Source organism: Homo sapiens, chromosome 4 (assembly GCF_000001405.40).
Source record: "Homo sapiens chromosome 4, GRCh38.p14 Primary Assembly".
NCBI classification, from domain to species: domain Eukaryota; kingdom Metazoa; phylum Chordata; class Mammalia; order Primates; family Hominidae; genus Homo; species Homo sapiens.
In genome coordinates, this window is record NC_000004.12 from 75,575,491 (window position 1) to 75,592,632 (window position 17,142).

Sequence of the window (17,142 nt, forward strand, 5' to 3'; positions counted from 1 at the left end):
GTGAGGCAGTGACACTGGGTATTGTTCTTGCCTGTGTGCCTTCAGAATCTAACCCTGACTCTTCTGGTGGGTTGAGGAGCAACTTAACTCCTTTCAATAAATGGCTTTTCTAGTTAAAGGGGAAAAAAAAATCGGGGGAGATAGGTATACATGTAAACAAAAGAGTGAGAAGCCAAGGAAGACAACTAAAAACAGGTTGAGGAAGCCAGGTATGGTGGCTCTTGCCTGTAATTCTAGCACTTTGGGAGGCCAAGGAAGGAGGATCGTTTGGGCACAGGAGTTAAAGACCAGCCTGGGCAACATAGTGAGACCCCGTCTCTATAAAAAATAATAATAATAAAATAAAATAATAAAACAGGTTAAGGAGGGAAGTGACCAATTAAAACATTATTTTGTGGTGGGGGGTGGGGGTGGTCAGGGGATACTTTTAAATCCTAGCAGCAAGATTAATGAAGATCACTTTCCAGGTCTAGAGCAGGTGGGATAGCTGGATGGAGGTAAACTGATATGAAAGCCTGTTCTCCAGACTGATAGGAGAACCTACCCTAGCTTAGGGATAGGAAAACATGCTGAATTGAGATATGTTGTTTTCATTTCCCTGAACCTTTCTTATATGTTCATATTAATCGACAATACATTTTCCAAAATGTTACCAGAAACTTCACTTCTACAGGAGATGGCCCTGAGTGCCAAAGTAGAGAATATAGAAATTAAGAATGTGCAATGGGCAAAACTAAATTTTCACTGAAAACAAAGAAAAGTGCTGTCTCGTGGATGGGTTTTGGTTTTAAAGAAAATTTCTCAGAATATATTCAACATCAGATATCCACAAATATCTATAAACACAAAGCTCTAAATCACAAGTTACCCACGAGTGATAACATAAGGTACTTACTTCTCAGAGGGCATGTTAAGAAAAAAATATGCTGTACATTAATTACATTTTCTAGTTATTTCATGTCTGAAGCTGTCAAGAGAAAAAATAAGACCCTTGAGAAAACAATGTGAGAACATAATTTTTTATTCATATAGATAGAGGAGTGTTAAGCACCCTCTTCTAGTGCAAAAACACTTAATGCAAAAAACAACAGAGAAAAATCCATTCAGTCCAATTCACTAAGACTAGCCTAAAGCCTTAGGAGCAGTGCTCTGTTGCTTCTCTAATCCCCTGACCATGGTTCAGTTATATAGAGGAGGACTTAGAAAACAAATCGATCACATTTTTCAGTCTAGTCTGATACATAGTGTATTACAGGTCCAGCCTTATATTGTAGCACAACTAAGATAAAGGAACCAATAATGAGAGTCACATAAGAAAACACATTTTCTATGTTCCATTTCAATGGGAAGTCAGATATTCTAAGCAAGCAAGGGATTCTCAGTCAGGAAAACCAGGTTCTGTCACAACTATTACCAGTTAGTCTTTATAAGAAATGTTATTTTATGACCATGCTGCTTATATCACCAGCTATACAAGAAAATTAGCTTGCCATCCCTACATCCAAAGTTTTCCAGAAGAATTAACAGATTTAAAACTTATTTGTTAAATACCATACAGTAGTGTATATATTATTTATAGCCTCTTAATTAAATAAATCTAAATTTAAACCATCTATGGAGCCCAGTAAGATAATATTTATTAATTTTAAAACATACATACATGCAGCAAGCCCACTGCTCCCCACCAGTACATACACATATTCCCTATTAGTGTGTGACTAAATCATATCCTTGCAAGAGAAACTAAATAACCTTAAACTTAAAAAAAGGATCATTTTGGTTCAATATCTATTATTGTTGATTATGTAATCTTGTTGATTACATCAACAAGAATCACTGAAACCAATTTGCAGAATCTTTTTCTAGTAGTTCTGCCACAGTTCTAATCAGATATGATCCTCAAGTCATAACTTGGACTTATGGTAAATATTTTTTAGTTCCTTAATTCTAAAGTTCACAAAGTGTTTTAATAGGCAAAAGATATCAAAAGCTAGTATAAAAACTGCAAGGCAATTGATCCTAGAACCTCAACCATTGAGCTGATATTCTCACACTGATCTTTACATAAAAATAGTATTGAAATAAGCCGAAGCGCCATTTGGCTTTAAGTATTACCTGTTTGCCATGCTGCAGAATCTATTGGCAGTGTTTTTCAAAGTAAAAATAAAGTAGTAACTTTTTAATATGCAGCCTATTAATGCTGATACCCTAGTTTTTTCAGCATGTTATCCATACTAATGTTGTCAAACAGCTGGTCACAGATTAAAAGTAGAGCTTTTAAATCAAGACCAATTTTAATTTAACCACCACCTATAGACTTGTACATTGAAACCCCTTATTTGCCTCCTCTTGAATGTCCTACTCTTTTGAGGCTTAAATATCCAAGGTCAGAATTTCAGTATTAAGCTCCTCAGAGTAATAAAGAAAAGTTCTAGTTAAATTCTTCAGCTAAGTTCTAGTCAATGGCTTTGGAAAAAAAGCAACACACTATTAATTAGTTAAGGCAAAAAAAAAAAAAAAACTCACAAATTCTGGTTCCCTAAACAACCATTCTCTAAAATGATAAATGCAGAGCATGTGTAGAAACCCAGAAATCAAGAACCTGTAGCCAACTTAGTTTATTCCTCCCACCTAAAAAGTTTTGGATCCATGCATTGGAAAAGATGTGTGGAATGCAGGTAAATGATTTTGCACCTTGGTGAAAAGCTTTTGAGACGGCCTGAGTGTTTGAGGCCACAAGGAGACAGGAACTTCTCTGGATTCTAGTATCACCCTTAAACTACCAGGGGACAAAAGTGGAGTCCATAATAATGAACGTTCTCTCCCCAAACCCTCTTCAGCTGGGTAGTTCAATAGCAATTGGTCCACAGAAGAGTAATCAGTCCTGATCAATTCTGTATGGAGCATTAGCACCAGAATCTTACAATACATGGAACTAACCAATGCCAGAGTTGTAGTAAGTCATTCGAAAGAGGTTTCTCTGTCACGCTTGCATTAGTGTGGTTCTTAGAAGATCTGCAGGGAGGCCAGAGTCTCATAATACACTGATAGAATATCAAAAATAATTACAGAAGTCAAAGATACACATCTACCCATGGACAGGAGTTACATATTCACTTAATATCTAGAAACGTGTAAGATTGTTAAGTGTGTTTTCATAGTTAAATTCAGGTAAAGCAAACAGTTTCTCTTACTGATCCTAGTTTCTTCAATTTTCTTCAACTGATCCTAATTTTTATCACCTACCCCCAAGAAACCCACTCCTAAATAAATGTACACATTTATACAGAAAACACACAAAGTTCAATGCATGAGTAACATGGCCTTTTATAGTATTTCTCTCTGTCCCCCTTTTTTACACACTTTTAATCATGGTAACTTAAAATATACAATCTCCTAACAGTAAATACACATTCATGTAACAAGAACCATATCACTGTTATTCCACTGGATATGTCTTGAAATAGCATCGGTGGACGTGAAAGGTAATGGGATAACAGTTGGGGAGGGCCATTTGTTCAATCTTCCTTTGAAACATTTGGAAGTCTTTGTCTTTCCTTCTTCTAGAAGGCCTTCCTCAGAAAATGCAGGCAGTTCAGAAGGAAATGATCAAAACCATGAATCTCTCCTCTTGGGATATCAGCACTCTTGCTGCAAGAAGATGTCATCTCAAGTGCAAGAGCATCATCTAAAAGCACAGGAGGATATACCACCAACTATTTTACAAAAAATCTTTCTAAAAATTAATTTCTATCTCACTTGCTTTCTCACATCGTATATATTGATAACATTGGTGGGTACTATGTAGTTTAAGAAAACCTTAGATTTCAATTAGATGTATCAAAAGCAAATTTTTAAGACAATCTTTAGAATAATTACCAATCAAAACTATCTTGCGTATGGCTGGGTGCAGTGGCTCACGCCTGTAATCCCAACACTTTGGGAGGCCGAGGCGGGCAGATCACCTGAGGTTGGGAGTTCAAGACCAGCCTGACCAACATGGAGAAACCCCATCTCTACTAAAAATACAAAAAAATTAGCCCGGCATGGTGGCCCATGCTTGTAATCCCAGCTACTCAGGAGGCTGAGGCAGGAGAATCACTTGAACCCGGGAGGTGGAGGTTGCAGTGAGCAGAGATCACGCCATTGCACTCCAGCCTGGGCAACAAGAGCGAAACTCCGTCTCAAAAAAAAGAAAAACTATCATGTGTAACACACATCTCCTTTTATGCAAATAATGACTAATTTTGACAAAATGCATCCAAGTTTTGCAGACCCTGTAGTTTACACGGTTTGTATGAATTAGTTGTTCATTGCTCAACATGAATTAACTCAAATGAATGCATTGCAAAGACTCTCCCACGGCCTTGAAAGGACCTGTGCAAATGAAAGATCAAAACTTAAGCTTTGTTCACTTCACAGTACATTCACCTTTGATGTCACAGATGCTCAAAATGCTTTGTAAAGGTTAACAGATTAATTCCAATAATACAGTTAGGGGCTGGGCATGGTGACTCATGACTGTAATCCCAGCACTTTGTGAGGCCAAGGTGGGCAGATCACCTGAGGTCAGGAGTTCAAGACCAGCCTAGCCAACATAGTGAAACCCCATCTCTACTAAATATACAAAAATTAGCTGGGCGTGGTGGCACACACCTGTGATCCCAGCTACTCAGGAGGCTGAGGCATGAGGATCACTTGGAGGTTGCAGTAAGCTGAGATTGTGCCACTGCACTCCAGCCTGGGAGACAGAGCAAGACACCGTCTCAAAAAAATAAATAAATACAGTTGTGAGAATGTGGGAATTTATCATCATAATATTTTACATAATGAGATATTAAACATTGAATGACTTGCTTGAGCAAATAAATTATCATTCAAAATGGTCTGATTGGCCAGACATGGTGGCTCACACCTCTAATTCCAGCACTTAGGGAGGCCAAGACGGGCAGATCATTTGAGCTCAGGAGTTTGAGGCCACCCTGGGCAACATGGTGAAACCCCATCTCTACCAAAAATACAAAAAATTAGCCGGGCTTTGTGGCACACACGTGTGGCCCCAGCTACTCAGGAGGCTGGGGTGGGAGGATCGCTTCAGCCTAGGAGGCAGAGATTGCAGTGAGCCGAGATCACGCCACTGCACTCCAGCCTGGACAATACAGTAAGATCCCATCTCAAAAAAAATGTCTGATTTTTGTTTTGGCTTTTTTTTTTTTTTCTTTTTTTTTGAGACGGAGTCTCGCTCTGTCGCCCAGGCTGGAGTGCAGTGGCGCGATCTCGGCTCACTGCAAGCTCCGCCTCCCGGGTTCACGCCATTCTCCTGCCTCAGCCTCCCGAGTAGCTGGGACTACAGGCGCCCGCTACCACACCCGGCTAATTTTTTGTATTTTTAGTAGAGACGGGGTTTCACCGTGTTAGCCAGGATGGTCTCGATCTCCTGACCTCGTGATCCGCCCGCCTCAGCCTCCCAAAGTGCTGGGATTACAGGCGTGAGCCACCGCGCCCAGCCTTGGCTTTTTTAATACTAAAAAAGTTATATTTAAAAGGAAGTCAATAATTTGGTATAGCACTGATCTCTCTTTATTGGGAAAAATATTGCCAAGTATAATCATGCACTGTATAACAATGTTTAGGTCAACAATGAGCTGCATATACAATGGTAGTCCCATAGATTATCATGAAGCTGAAAATTCTTATTGCCTAGTGACATTGTAGCTAGTAACATCATAGTGCAATGCATTACCTTTTCTATGTTTTGATATATGAATATTTACTATTGTGTTACAATTGCTTACAGTATTCAGTACAGTAACATGCTGTGCAGGCTTGTAGCCTAGGAGGAATAGGCTATACCATATAGCCTAGGAGTATAGTAGGTTATATCATCTAGGTTTGTGTAAGTAAACTGTGATGTTAGCATAACAGTGAAATCACCTAAGGATGCATCTTTCAGAACATTAACCGAGGCATCATTATAATCAATCAATCTTGCTTTACAGGCCCACAGGGCAAATGACTGATAAGGGAGATAGGTATATATCTTTCTTGAGCACTTGTCACCCTAAATTCACATTACTATATCCAATAAAATGCAGGAGATTAGTTTAAGAGCAAGAGATGTACGCTCTGCGAAAAGGGATTTCATCTCAGAGATAAATACTACTTCTGGTTTTCTAAGTGGCACAACTCTTTCTCTATCAGAAGTTCTCATGGAATCAATCACTGGAGACGGTTTCAGCTGAAAAATTGGTATTCAGCAAGCCACAAAATAGTACCTGTGAAAGGCTGCACAGCTTTAAGTATGGGAAATCACACCTACCCAGTTCAGAACCAAAATGGTTCTCAGTGCTGGTGTTCCATTTGAGGCAAATCAGCCCCTGAATCATCTGACAGGGGAGGTCCTGATACCTATAAATTAATAATAGAGCATCATAGGTTCTCAGTAATTGCAAAAGTTCCACTTCCCCAAAATTTCAATTCTATTTGTTCAAATATTAGATGTTTATAATTAACTATTCATAGCTCAAGTTGCCTACATGGAAAAGAATGAAGTAAGGGGACATTGTTCTTTTCCTTTTCTTTAGTCCCAAACATGACTGCTGAGTGGATGTTATTCTTTGATCTTAGTTTATGCATATGTTAAAAGATACTTCTGATCTGCCAAGGCAGTGTAAGCCCACTACAGCCCATCTCTTCTACTTATTACAAAAATACAAAAACAGAAACCTGTTGGAACCATCATATAAAGACTTTGAAGCAGCCCTTATAACTCTGCTACATGAAGTAAAGGAAAACATACTTGAAATGAATGAAGGGATAGGAATTCTTAGCAGAGAAACAGATGCTATAAAAGGGAACCAAATGTATATTTTGGGACTAAAAAGCACAGTATCTGAAATTTTAAAATCTCACTGGATGGACTTAATAGCAGAATGAAGATGATAAAGTAAAAAGTCAGAGAACTTGAGGATAGATGAATAGAAGTGGCCCAATCTGAAGAACAGAAAGAAAAATGATTAAGAAAAAGTGAACAGAGTCTCGGGAACCTATGAGAAAATACTAAATGGTCTACCATACATATCATTAGACTCTCAGAAGGAGAGGTGAGAGATTATGGCAGAAAAAAAAATTTCAAAAAACATGACCAACAACTCCCCAAATCTGGTAAAATATATAAGTTTAAAGATTCAAGAAGGCTGGCAAACCCCAAACAGGACAGACTCAAAGAAAACTATGTCTAGATACATCATATTTAAGCTAATGAAAAGAAAAGATAAAAATTAAATCTTGAAAGCAGCTAGAGGAAAATGAAACATTACATATAGGGAAACAATTCAAATGCCTGAGAATTTCCCACCAGAAATTACAGAGATCAGAAGACAGAAGAATCCCATCTTTATAGTGCTGGGAGGAAAAACAAAAACAAAAATATGTCAACCCAAATTCCATATCCAATAAAATATACTTCAAGAATTAAAGTAAAATAAAGTCATTCTCAAATGAAGAAAAACTAAGAACATTTGTCACCGTCAGACCTGCTCTGCAAGAAATGCTAACAAGAAGATTTTCAGGCTGAAGGAAAATAATACCAGAGGAAAATCTAGGGAAGAAGAGAGACCGACAGAAATGGTAAAGAGCTAGGTAAATATAAAAGACAACTTTTTCTCATAAATTGTTTAAACTATTTATGACTGTTTAAAACAAAACATATAACGTATTGGGGTTCTGGAGATATGTAAATGTAGTACATATGAAGTTCTAACTTAAAGTGCAAACTGGGAAGAAGGGAATATGTTAGCAATGTTCCTACTTTTTTTGTTGTTAATTATTTATCAAGAGAAACTATTTCTTAGACCACATATTCATGTTTCATAGCTCAGGAACACAGGTAAGTGACAAACTTCTAGGTAATTCAACCCAAAGAAATCCTTTGCATTCCAAAATCACTTTGTATTCTGAAAGATACCAGCCTTCCCCATCTCCTCCAAATCTTTCACGGAATCATAATTTCTGTAGAAATCTGCATATGTCTTCTTTCTTGGTTCAGCCACAGCAATCTTACAGACAGCTGCAACCCCCAGGGATACAATAAAGGCTCCAACAATATGAAATTGCAGACATTTGGCCAGAAGACCACACATCTGAGGTTTTGCCAAAGCGGTGGAAGCCATGGTAGTTACTGTCCTTTATAGGTATGTCAACCTCAAAACCAACGTCTTTCCTGGATGATGGAGAAATGGATGGGCAATTCGTACTTTTTATTTCAAGGGGTACAATGTAGACTACGAAAAATTAGTGATGTATATTGTAATTCCTCGAGCAATCACTAAAAAAAATATAAAAAGATATTGCCGAAAAAATACTGAAACTATTCAAAAACAAAAGAAAACTGGAAAGGAAAAACAGAGGAGCAAACAGAAAACAAATAATAAAAAGATGGGACTAGATTCAAAAATATCAATTATCACATTAAATGTTAATGGTCTAAACATTCTGTGATCAGCAGGATTGTAAAGCTATGCCCTTAAGATTCCTGTCCCTAGCTAGTTAATCAAACTAATTTCAGTACCGATATGAAGGGACTTTGTGCATGGAATAAATGTTACTAATTAGCTGTTAATTGTTACTAATTAGCTGTTAAATGTTACTAATTAGGATAGATTATCTTCGTGGGCCGAGTGTAATCATGTGAGCTCTTAGCATCAGAGTAAGTCAGAGATGTGGCAGAAGGAGTGGTCAGAGAGATTCAAGTGTAAGAGAGATTTGACCACTGTTGCTGGTTTTGAAGGCAGAGGAAGTGGGCCATGAGCCAAGGAATGTGAGTGGCATCTAGAAGGTGAGAACAACCCCCAGCTGTTAGCCAGCAAGGAAATAGGGACTTCTGCCCTACAACCATATGGAACTAAATTAGCCCAACAACCCAAGTGAACCTGGAAATGGTTTCTCCCCAATGCCTCCAGAAAATAATGCAGCCCTGCAGACACCTTGATTTCCACCTGTGAGACTCATTCAGAGAAGCAGCTGTGCCCTAGCTCCTGACCCAGAAACTGTGAGAAAATAAATAGATATTAATTTAGTGTGTTAAGTAGTCCCCCCGATCCATGAGGGATATGTTCCAAGGCCCCCAGCGGATGCCTGAAACCTCAGATAGTACCAAGCCCTAAATATACAGTATTGTGTTTTTTTTAATCTGAAAGCCTAGACAGCTACTAAGCAATAAAAGGGTAGGTAGCATACATGGATACACGGGACAATGGGACAATTCATGTCCTGAGCAGAACAGAGCCAGACAGCTCAAGATTTCATCAGGCTATTCAAAATGGTGTGCAATTTAAAACTTAAGAACTGTTTATTTCTGGAACTTTCCACTAACATTTTCAGACCACAGTTGACCATAGGTAACTGAAAGTGCAGAAAGCAAAACTATAGATAAGGGGGGACTACCACATCTCTAAGGTAGCAGAAATAATAAACGAATACACATTCCAATTAAAAGGCAAAGACTGACAGAATGTATACAAAGGAAAAATCCTATTTATATGCTGTCTGTGAAAGAAACACTTTAAATATAAATATAAAAAACAGATAGGGTGAAAGTAAATGAAATCAACAAGATTTACTATGCAAACATACGTATAAGAAGTTTGGAATGGCTATTTTAATATCAGATAAAATAGACTTCAAAGCACAGACCACTACAGAGATAAAGAGAGGCATTTCATAATGAGAAAAGGTACAATGTATCAGAAAGACAAGACAATTATGTGCAAATACCTAATAATAGAGATTTAAAATACATAAAGCAGCCAGGCATGGTGGCTCACTCCTGTAATCCCAGCTACTCAAGAGGCTCAGGAGGAGGTCAGGAGTTTGGGTCAGGAGTTTGAGCAACACAGCAAGGCCAGCCACAACATCAGAGCAAGACCCCATCTCTCAAAACAAAAAAGAAAAAATTAGCTGGGTGTGGTGAGCTGTGCCTGTAGTCTTAGTTACTCAGGAGGTTGATGGGGGAAGATCGCTTGATCCTAGGAATTCAAGGTTGCAGTGAGCTATGATCATGCCGCTGCACTCCAGCCTGGGCAACAGAGTGAGACCCCATTTCTAAAAAAATAATAATAAAATACATGAAGCAAAAATAAATAGATACAGGCCAGGTATGGTGGCTCATGCCTGTAATCCCAGCACTTTGGGAGGCCGATGTGGGTGGATCACTTGAGTTCAGGAGGTCAAGACCAGCGTGGGCAACAAAGCGAGACTCTGTCTTGAAATAAATTAATTAATTAAATTAAATTAAAACAAACAGATATAAGAGAGAAATAGGCAATTCTACAACATAATAAAAGATTTTAACAGCACTCTTTCAAGAACTGATAGACCTAAACAAAAAAAATTAAGAGCATAGATGACCTGAAGAATACTGTACTATTAACCACCTTGATCTAATTTCACATTTATAGAACAATTAATCCAACAACAAAGAATATACATTTTTTCAAGGGAATGAAGTCAATCACCAAGATAGACCGTAGACCATAAAACATGTCTCATTGAATCTAAAAAAATCAAGATCACACTGAGTGTATTCTCTGACTACAATGGAATTAAATTACAAATTAATCAGTAATAAGATATCTAGGGAAACCTCAAATACCTGGCTATTAAACAACATTTCTAAATAATTCATAGGTGAGAGAAGAAATTACAAGGGAAATTAGAAAACGTTTGGACTAACCTTTCTTTTTTTTTTTTTTTTAAGATGGAGTCTTGATCTGTCACCCAGGCTGGAGTGCAGTGGCACCATCTTGGCTCACTGCAAGCTCTGCCTCCCAGGTTCACATCAATCTCCTGCCTCAGCCTCCCGAGTAGCTGGGACTACAGGCGCCTGCCACCACGCCCAGCTAATTTTTTTGTATTTTTAGTAGAGATGGGGTTTCACCATGTTAGCTAGCCAGTAAGGTCTCGATCTCCTGACCTTGTGATCTGCCCACCTCAGCCTCCCAAAGTGCTGGGATTACAGGCGTGAGCCACTGCGCCCAGCCTGGACTAGCCTTAATGTTAAAACATGACAAAGATATCTTTTTTAAAAAAAGGAAATTATAGTAGCAGTAATAGGAAGTTAGATATATACAAAATAATTAATCAAATAAGTAAATATATTAAATTATACATAGAATAACATACAGCTAATTTTCTCACTCTCAAAGAAGAGGATAGCAAACTACACCAAACTCTGTGATGTTGGATTAGAATTAAAGGTATCTTTGTAGATTTCAGTAAGCATAGAAATGAAAATACAACATATCAAAAGCTGTGGGATGAAGGTAAAGCAGTGCTTAGAGGAAAATGTGTAGCTTTACATGCTTACATTACAAAACAAAACAAAACAAAAAACAAAAAACTAAGTGACCAAGTGATGGGTTTCCTTAAGAACCTAGAAAAATTGAGAGAATAAACTCAAAGTAAGTAAAAGGGGAAAACTAAGAGGAGACATCAATAAAATAGGGAACTGACAGATAACAGAGGAAATTAACAATGCCAAAGGCTTGATTTTGTTGAAAAACACAACAAAATTGACAAACTCCTAACTATACTGATCAAGAAAAAGAAAGTGAACATAATAAAGTAAAAATAAATAAGGAATAATCATCACAGTCCTTACAGATATTAAAAGGACAATAAGAGGCCGGGTGCAGTGGCTCACGCCTGTAATCCCAGCACTTCGGGAGGCTGAGGTGGGTGTATCACTGGAGGTTAGAAGTTTGAGACCAGCCTGGCCAACATGGTGAAACCCCGTCTCTACTAAAAATACAAAAATTAGCCGAGTGTAGTGGCTCATGCCTGTAATCCCAGTAACTCGGGAGGCTGAGGCAGGAGAATCGCTTAATCCCAGGAGGTAGAGGTTGCAGCGAGTTGAGATTGTGCCACTGTACTCCAGTCTGGGTGACAGAGCAAGACTCCGTCTCAAAAGCAAAAACAAAACAAAAGGACAAGAAGAGAATGCTATGAACAACGTCATGCCAACAAATTTTAAAAATTGTATGACACGAACAAAAGGATTAAAAAATACAACCTACCAAAAGAGACACAAGAAGAAACAGAAAATCTGAATAGCACTGTATATTTTAAAGAAATTGAGAGGCCGGGCGCAGTGGTTCACACTCCCAGCACTTTGGGAGGCCGAGACGGGCGGATCACGAGATCAGGAGATCAAGACCATCCTGGCTAACACGGTGAAACCCCATCTCTACTAAAAATACAAAAAAATTAGCCGGGCATAGTGGCGGGCGCCTGTAGTCCCAGCTACTTGGGAGGCTGAGGCAGGAGGATGGCATGAACCTGGGAGGCAGAGCTTGCAGTGAGCCGAGATCGAGCCATTGCACTCCAGCCTGGGCGACAGATCAAGATTCTGTCTCAAAAAAAAAAAAAAAAGAAACTGAAATCAGGCTGGGCGCGGTGGCTCACACCTGTAATCCCAGCACTTTGGGAGGCCAAGGCAGGCGGATCACCTGAGGTCGGGAGTTCAAGACCAGCCTGACCAACATGGAGAAACACCTTCTCTACTAAAAATACAAAATTAGCCGGGCGTGGTGGTGCACGCCTGTAATCCCAGCTACTCAGGAGGCTGAGGCAGGAGAATCACTTGAACCCAGGAGGCGGAGGTTGCCGTGAGCCGAGATCGCACCATTGCACTCCAGCCTGGGCAACAAGAGCAAAACTCAGTCTCAAAAAAAAAAAAAAAAAATTATCCAAAACTTTCCCCAGAATAAAGCTCTTGAGACAGATGGCTTCACCAGTGAATTCCATTAATATTCAAGGAACAAATAACACCAACTTATTAAACTTTTTCAGGAAATAAAGAGAGACCACTGCTCAACTTGTTTTATGAAGCTAACAAAACCTTAATGTTAAAACATGACAAATATATCTTTTTTAAAAAAGGGAAATCATAGTAGCAGTAATAGGAGTTTAGATATATATAAAATAATTAATCAAATAAGTACAAATATTAAATTATACATGGAATAACATACAGCTAAATTTCTTACTGTTAAAGAAGAGAATAGTAAACTAGGCCAAACCTGGGTGTTGGATTCACAATTAGAGGTATCTTTGTAGATTTCAGTAACCATAGGTAGAAATAGAAATAAACTCACAGTAAATGTGTATGTATATACATATGTCTATGTACCTAGCTCTGTCCACTAAGAGGGCCTTGGAACAATGACTCCCCCCAAATCAGTGGACACACCTAGAGCCCAGATCTTAATTTCTAAATATGATTTTCTACTAAAGGAAATTAGGGATCCTTAGAGAGATGGCTGATTTCTGGCTGGTACAAATCCATCTGCATTATCTGTTGTGCCAGATAGCAAGGAATTCCTCAAAGGAATTCCTCAAAGGAATTCCTCAAAGAATGATGAGGACTTGTCAAAAGGAGACAGAAGCTACCTTGAAGGGGATCCCACTAGAAAAACTGGACTAATTTGAACATCAAAATAAATAATGACTCAACAATGTGAAAACAAACAACCATTAAAAATGGGCAAAAGATTTGAGCAGATATTTCATCAAAGAAGATATACAGCTCTCTCATGTGCAAATAAGCACATGAAAAGATTCTCAACATCTTTGTCGTTAGGGAAATACAAATTAAAACCACAATGAGATGCCACTTCACACCTATTAGAAAGGCTAAAATTAAATTGACAATACCAAGTATTGGTGAGGATAAGGCACAACTGAAATTATTATGCATTGCTGGTTGAAATACAAAATAGTGTAGTCATTTTGGAAAAATTTGATAGTTTCTTTTTTTTTTTTTTTTTTTTTTTGAGACGGAGTCTCGCTCTGTCGCCCAGGCTGGAGTGCAGTGGCGGGATCTCGGCTCACTGCAAGCTCCGCCTCCCGGGTTCACGCCATTCTCCTGCCTCAGCCTCCCAAGTAGCTGGGACTACAGGCGCCTGCCACTACGCCCGGCTAATTTTTTGTATTTTTAGTAGAGACGGGGTTTCACCGTTTTAGCCGGGATGGTCTCGATCTCCTGACCTCGTGATCCGCCCGCCTCGGCCTCCCAAAGTGCTGGGATTACAGGCGTGAGCCACCGCGCCCGGCCGATAGTTTCTTATAAACATATACTTACCAAGTGACCCAGCAAATCCATTTTCAGGTATTTACCAACTAAATGTGAAACTGTATATTCACACACAAAAAACACATTTACAAATGTTTATATAACACTTCACGTTTAATTGTCAAAAACTGCAAACAACTCAACTGTCCCTCAGCTGGAAAATGGATAAACAGATAAATAGACTCCATCTCTAAAAAAAAAAAAAATTGTGTTAGCTGGGCATGGTAGCCTGCACCTGTAGTCCCAGCTCCTTGGGAGACTGAGGTAGAAAGATGGCTTAAGCCCAGGAGTTCAAGGCTGCAGTGAGCTATGAGCATGCCACTGCACTCCAGCCTGGGCAACAGAGCAAGACCATGTGTCCAAAAAAAAAAAAAAAGAGGCCAGGTACAGTGGCTCATAGCCAGGTGTGTTGGTGCACTCCCGTGGTCCCAGCTACTCAGGAAGCTGAGGTGGGAAGATTGCCTAAGCCCAGGGGATCAAGGCTGTAGTGAGCCATGATGTTGCCACTGCACTCCAGCCTGGATGACACAGCAAAACCCTGTCTCAAAAAAAAGAAGTAAAGAAGTATATAAGAAATGTATTGATACTCTATGGTTCCTAAATGTGGAATCTGTGACAGTGATTATCTCTTCACATGACAGGAATTTGTTCAGTTTTAATTAAATGTTGCTATAGAAATTGTTGGCAAGAGATAAGGCAAAGCAATCACGGCAATAAACCCTTTCATCAGCATCTCTAGATAATTTGTTATCCTCACAGTAACACTACTCCTTTGTAGAGCTCTACAGAACTATTGAAGAGTTAACAGTGAGGCTGGGGGCAATGCCTCATGCCTATAATCCCAGCACTTCAGGAGGCTGAGGCAGGCAGATCACTTGAGGTCAGGAGTTCAAGACCAGCCTGGCCAACATGGTGAAACCCTGCCTCTAATAAAAATACAAAAATTAGCTGGGTGTGGTGGCATGCACCTGTAATCCCAGCTGATTGGGAGGCTGAGGCACAAGAATCACTTGAACCTGGGAGGCAAAGGTTGCAGTGAGCTGAGATTGTGCCACTGCACTCCAGCCTGGGCGACAGAGTGAGACTCTGTCTCAAAAAATAAAAATAAAAAAAGAGTTAACAGTGGAAAAAGCATCACCGTGGATAAAGAACAACATACAGGAAATCTCTATGAAATGGAAATGTGTTAATAATGAGGATGGAGAATTAATTCTAAAACAAAAGTTGCCTAGCTTCAAGCAAAGGTGAAAAATCTGTCTGAAGCAGTAAAAGGAAAGTACAATGTCCATAGCCAAAGTTTGTAGCTAGTTATGGTTGGCTAAGGAGATTTAAGTTTGCCAGTTTTTTCAGTGTAAAAATGAGTGATATGGCTGTTGATATAAAGGTAATAGAAACACATATATTCTGAAAAGTTAAGAGCAATGATAGAAAAAAATGACTATATGGAATAGCAAATCTTTAACATGGATAAAATGGATTGTCTTGGTGAAAATATGTCAAATAGATAATCTATTCTGGAAGAATAAAAACAATTCCAGAGTTTCTCCCTTTGAAAGGTAGGTTGTTTATTACTTTGGAGTTAATGTAGTGAAATACTACGAAATATAAAAAAAACCCCAGTAGCTAACAAAAACTGTAGCTAGGCTGCATACCCAGACACACACATTTTTAACCTATAAAAAATGGATTACTGGCCAGGAGCCATAGCTCACATCTGTAATTCCAACACTTTGGGAAGCTAAAGCAGAAGGATCGCTTGAGGCCAGGAGTTTTGAGACCAGCCCAGGCAACATAGCAAGGCCTCATCTCTACAAAAAATTTAAAAATTAATTAGATATGGTGGTGCATGCCTGTAATCTCAGCTACTTGGGAGGCTGAGGTAGTTGGATTGCTTAAGCTCAAGGGTTTGAAGCTGCAGTGAGCTGGGATCATGTTACTGCACTCCAGCCTGGGCACCAGAGTGAGACCATGTCTCTAAAAAAAGAAAGTATTATGGGAAGTTAGGAAATGTTTATGTAAATATATATGTAATAAAGGTACTAAGTGCAATGAATCAAACAACATTTGCAAGCAAAATGTTATAGATCCCACCAATAAACCTGCACAATTCTTAAGAGCAAACTCTCCCTAAAATACTTTACTAGTAAGTAAGAGAGAGACCCGAGTTCTGTCCATCCTATAAAGAGTATTTCTGTACCTGATGTAATGTAATACTGGGGGTGTGCAGGTCAATAGCAGCCAGAGAAGGAATTCGAGATTCTGAAAGAATTTTGCTCTCTTTCTTTGTTAGCCTGGAATTTCGAGCTAGATAGAAATGACCATAAACACAGTGAAAATATTAGACATTTTGTTAGTTTTTAGTTTTTCACATTCTCTACGTGTTCCTCAGTATGTACTTATTATAACAGGTATTTACATACTTAAATATGTAAAGTTAGTATGAATTTTTATTTTTAAATTCTGTCTAACATACATTTTAAATAATCTAAACAGACTACACAAAGTAAAAGCATTATCAACACACCTATGCCTCCCAGTGCTCTTAGTTCAGGGAGATGATTATAGTTTAGTTCAGGCAAACGGACATCTGTCCTGGAGTATTCTCTTCTTTTCTTACTTGCCCAAAAGAGGTTTTTTTCACTAGAGACCTAATATCATCAACATAGTCAACAAAAAAGAATTAGTTTCAAGGTTAGCTAGGCTTTCCTTCTTCTGTAACTCCTATGTTCATATCCTAAAATTTGTGAAATTGAAGGTCTATAATAAAAAATTTGAAGGACATTAATAATACAAAAAAAATTCATCCAATTATTTCAAATGTCTTCCTCATTAAATTCATTAAAATTGCTAACAAGTAGATAACTTGAGTGCTATGAGTTTCTCCTTCTTCCTTTGCCAATTATCAGTGTGTAAGTCCCAGCAAGTAGTAAAAGGTTAAAAGATGGGCATTGATGCGCTGGTTCTTCAGGCCAGCAAGGTCGGGCCTTACACTTCCTAGGCTTTTCAGCAAA

The 17,142-nt window shown here is 38.6% G+C and overlaps 1 protein-coding gene and 1 pseudogene across 11 annotated transcripts in view; both read right to left on the bottom strand.

Moving 5' to 3' along the window:
- Window positions 1–1,005: 1,005 nt before the first annotated feature.
- The window catches only part of CDKL2 (cyclin dependent kinase like 2), a 54,033-nt gene continuing 37,896 nt past the window's right edge, over window positions 1,006–17,142 (bottom strand). For 2 of the 11 annotated variants that reach the window (XM_047416383.1, XM_047416386.1), the window contains 3 exons: window positions 16,656–16,779; window positions 16,329–16,435; window positions 5,558–6,408 (listed from right to left, as the gene is read on the bottom strand). In XM_047416383.1, the coding sequence (XP_047272339.1) occupies window positions 6,343–6,408; window positions 16,329–16,435; window positions 16,656–16,779 (297 nt within the window). In that variant the 3' untranslated portion in view covers window positions 5,558–6,342. Of the gene's footprint in view, window positions 3,689–5,557; window positions 6,409–14,226; window positions 14,670–16,328; window positions 16,436–16,655; window positions 16,780–17,142 lie in introns of those variants that run through there. The other 9 variants (XM_017008809.2, NM_001330724.2, XM_047416382.1 and 6 more) reach the window with 9 other exon arrangements.
- COX6CP9 (cytochrome c oxidase subunit 6C pseudogene 9) lies at window positions 7,947–8,171 on the bottom strand (annotated as a pseudogene).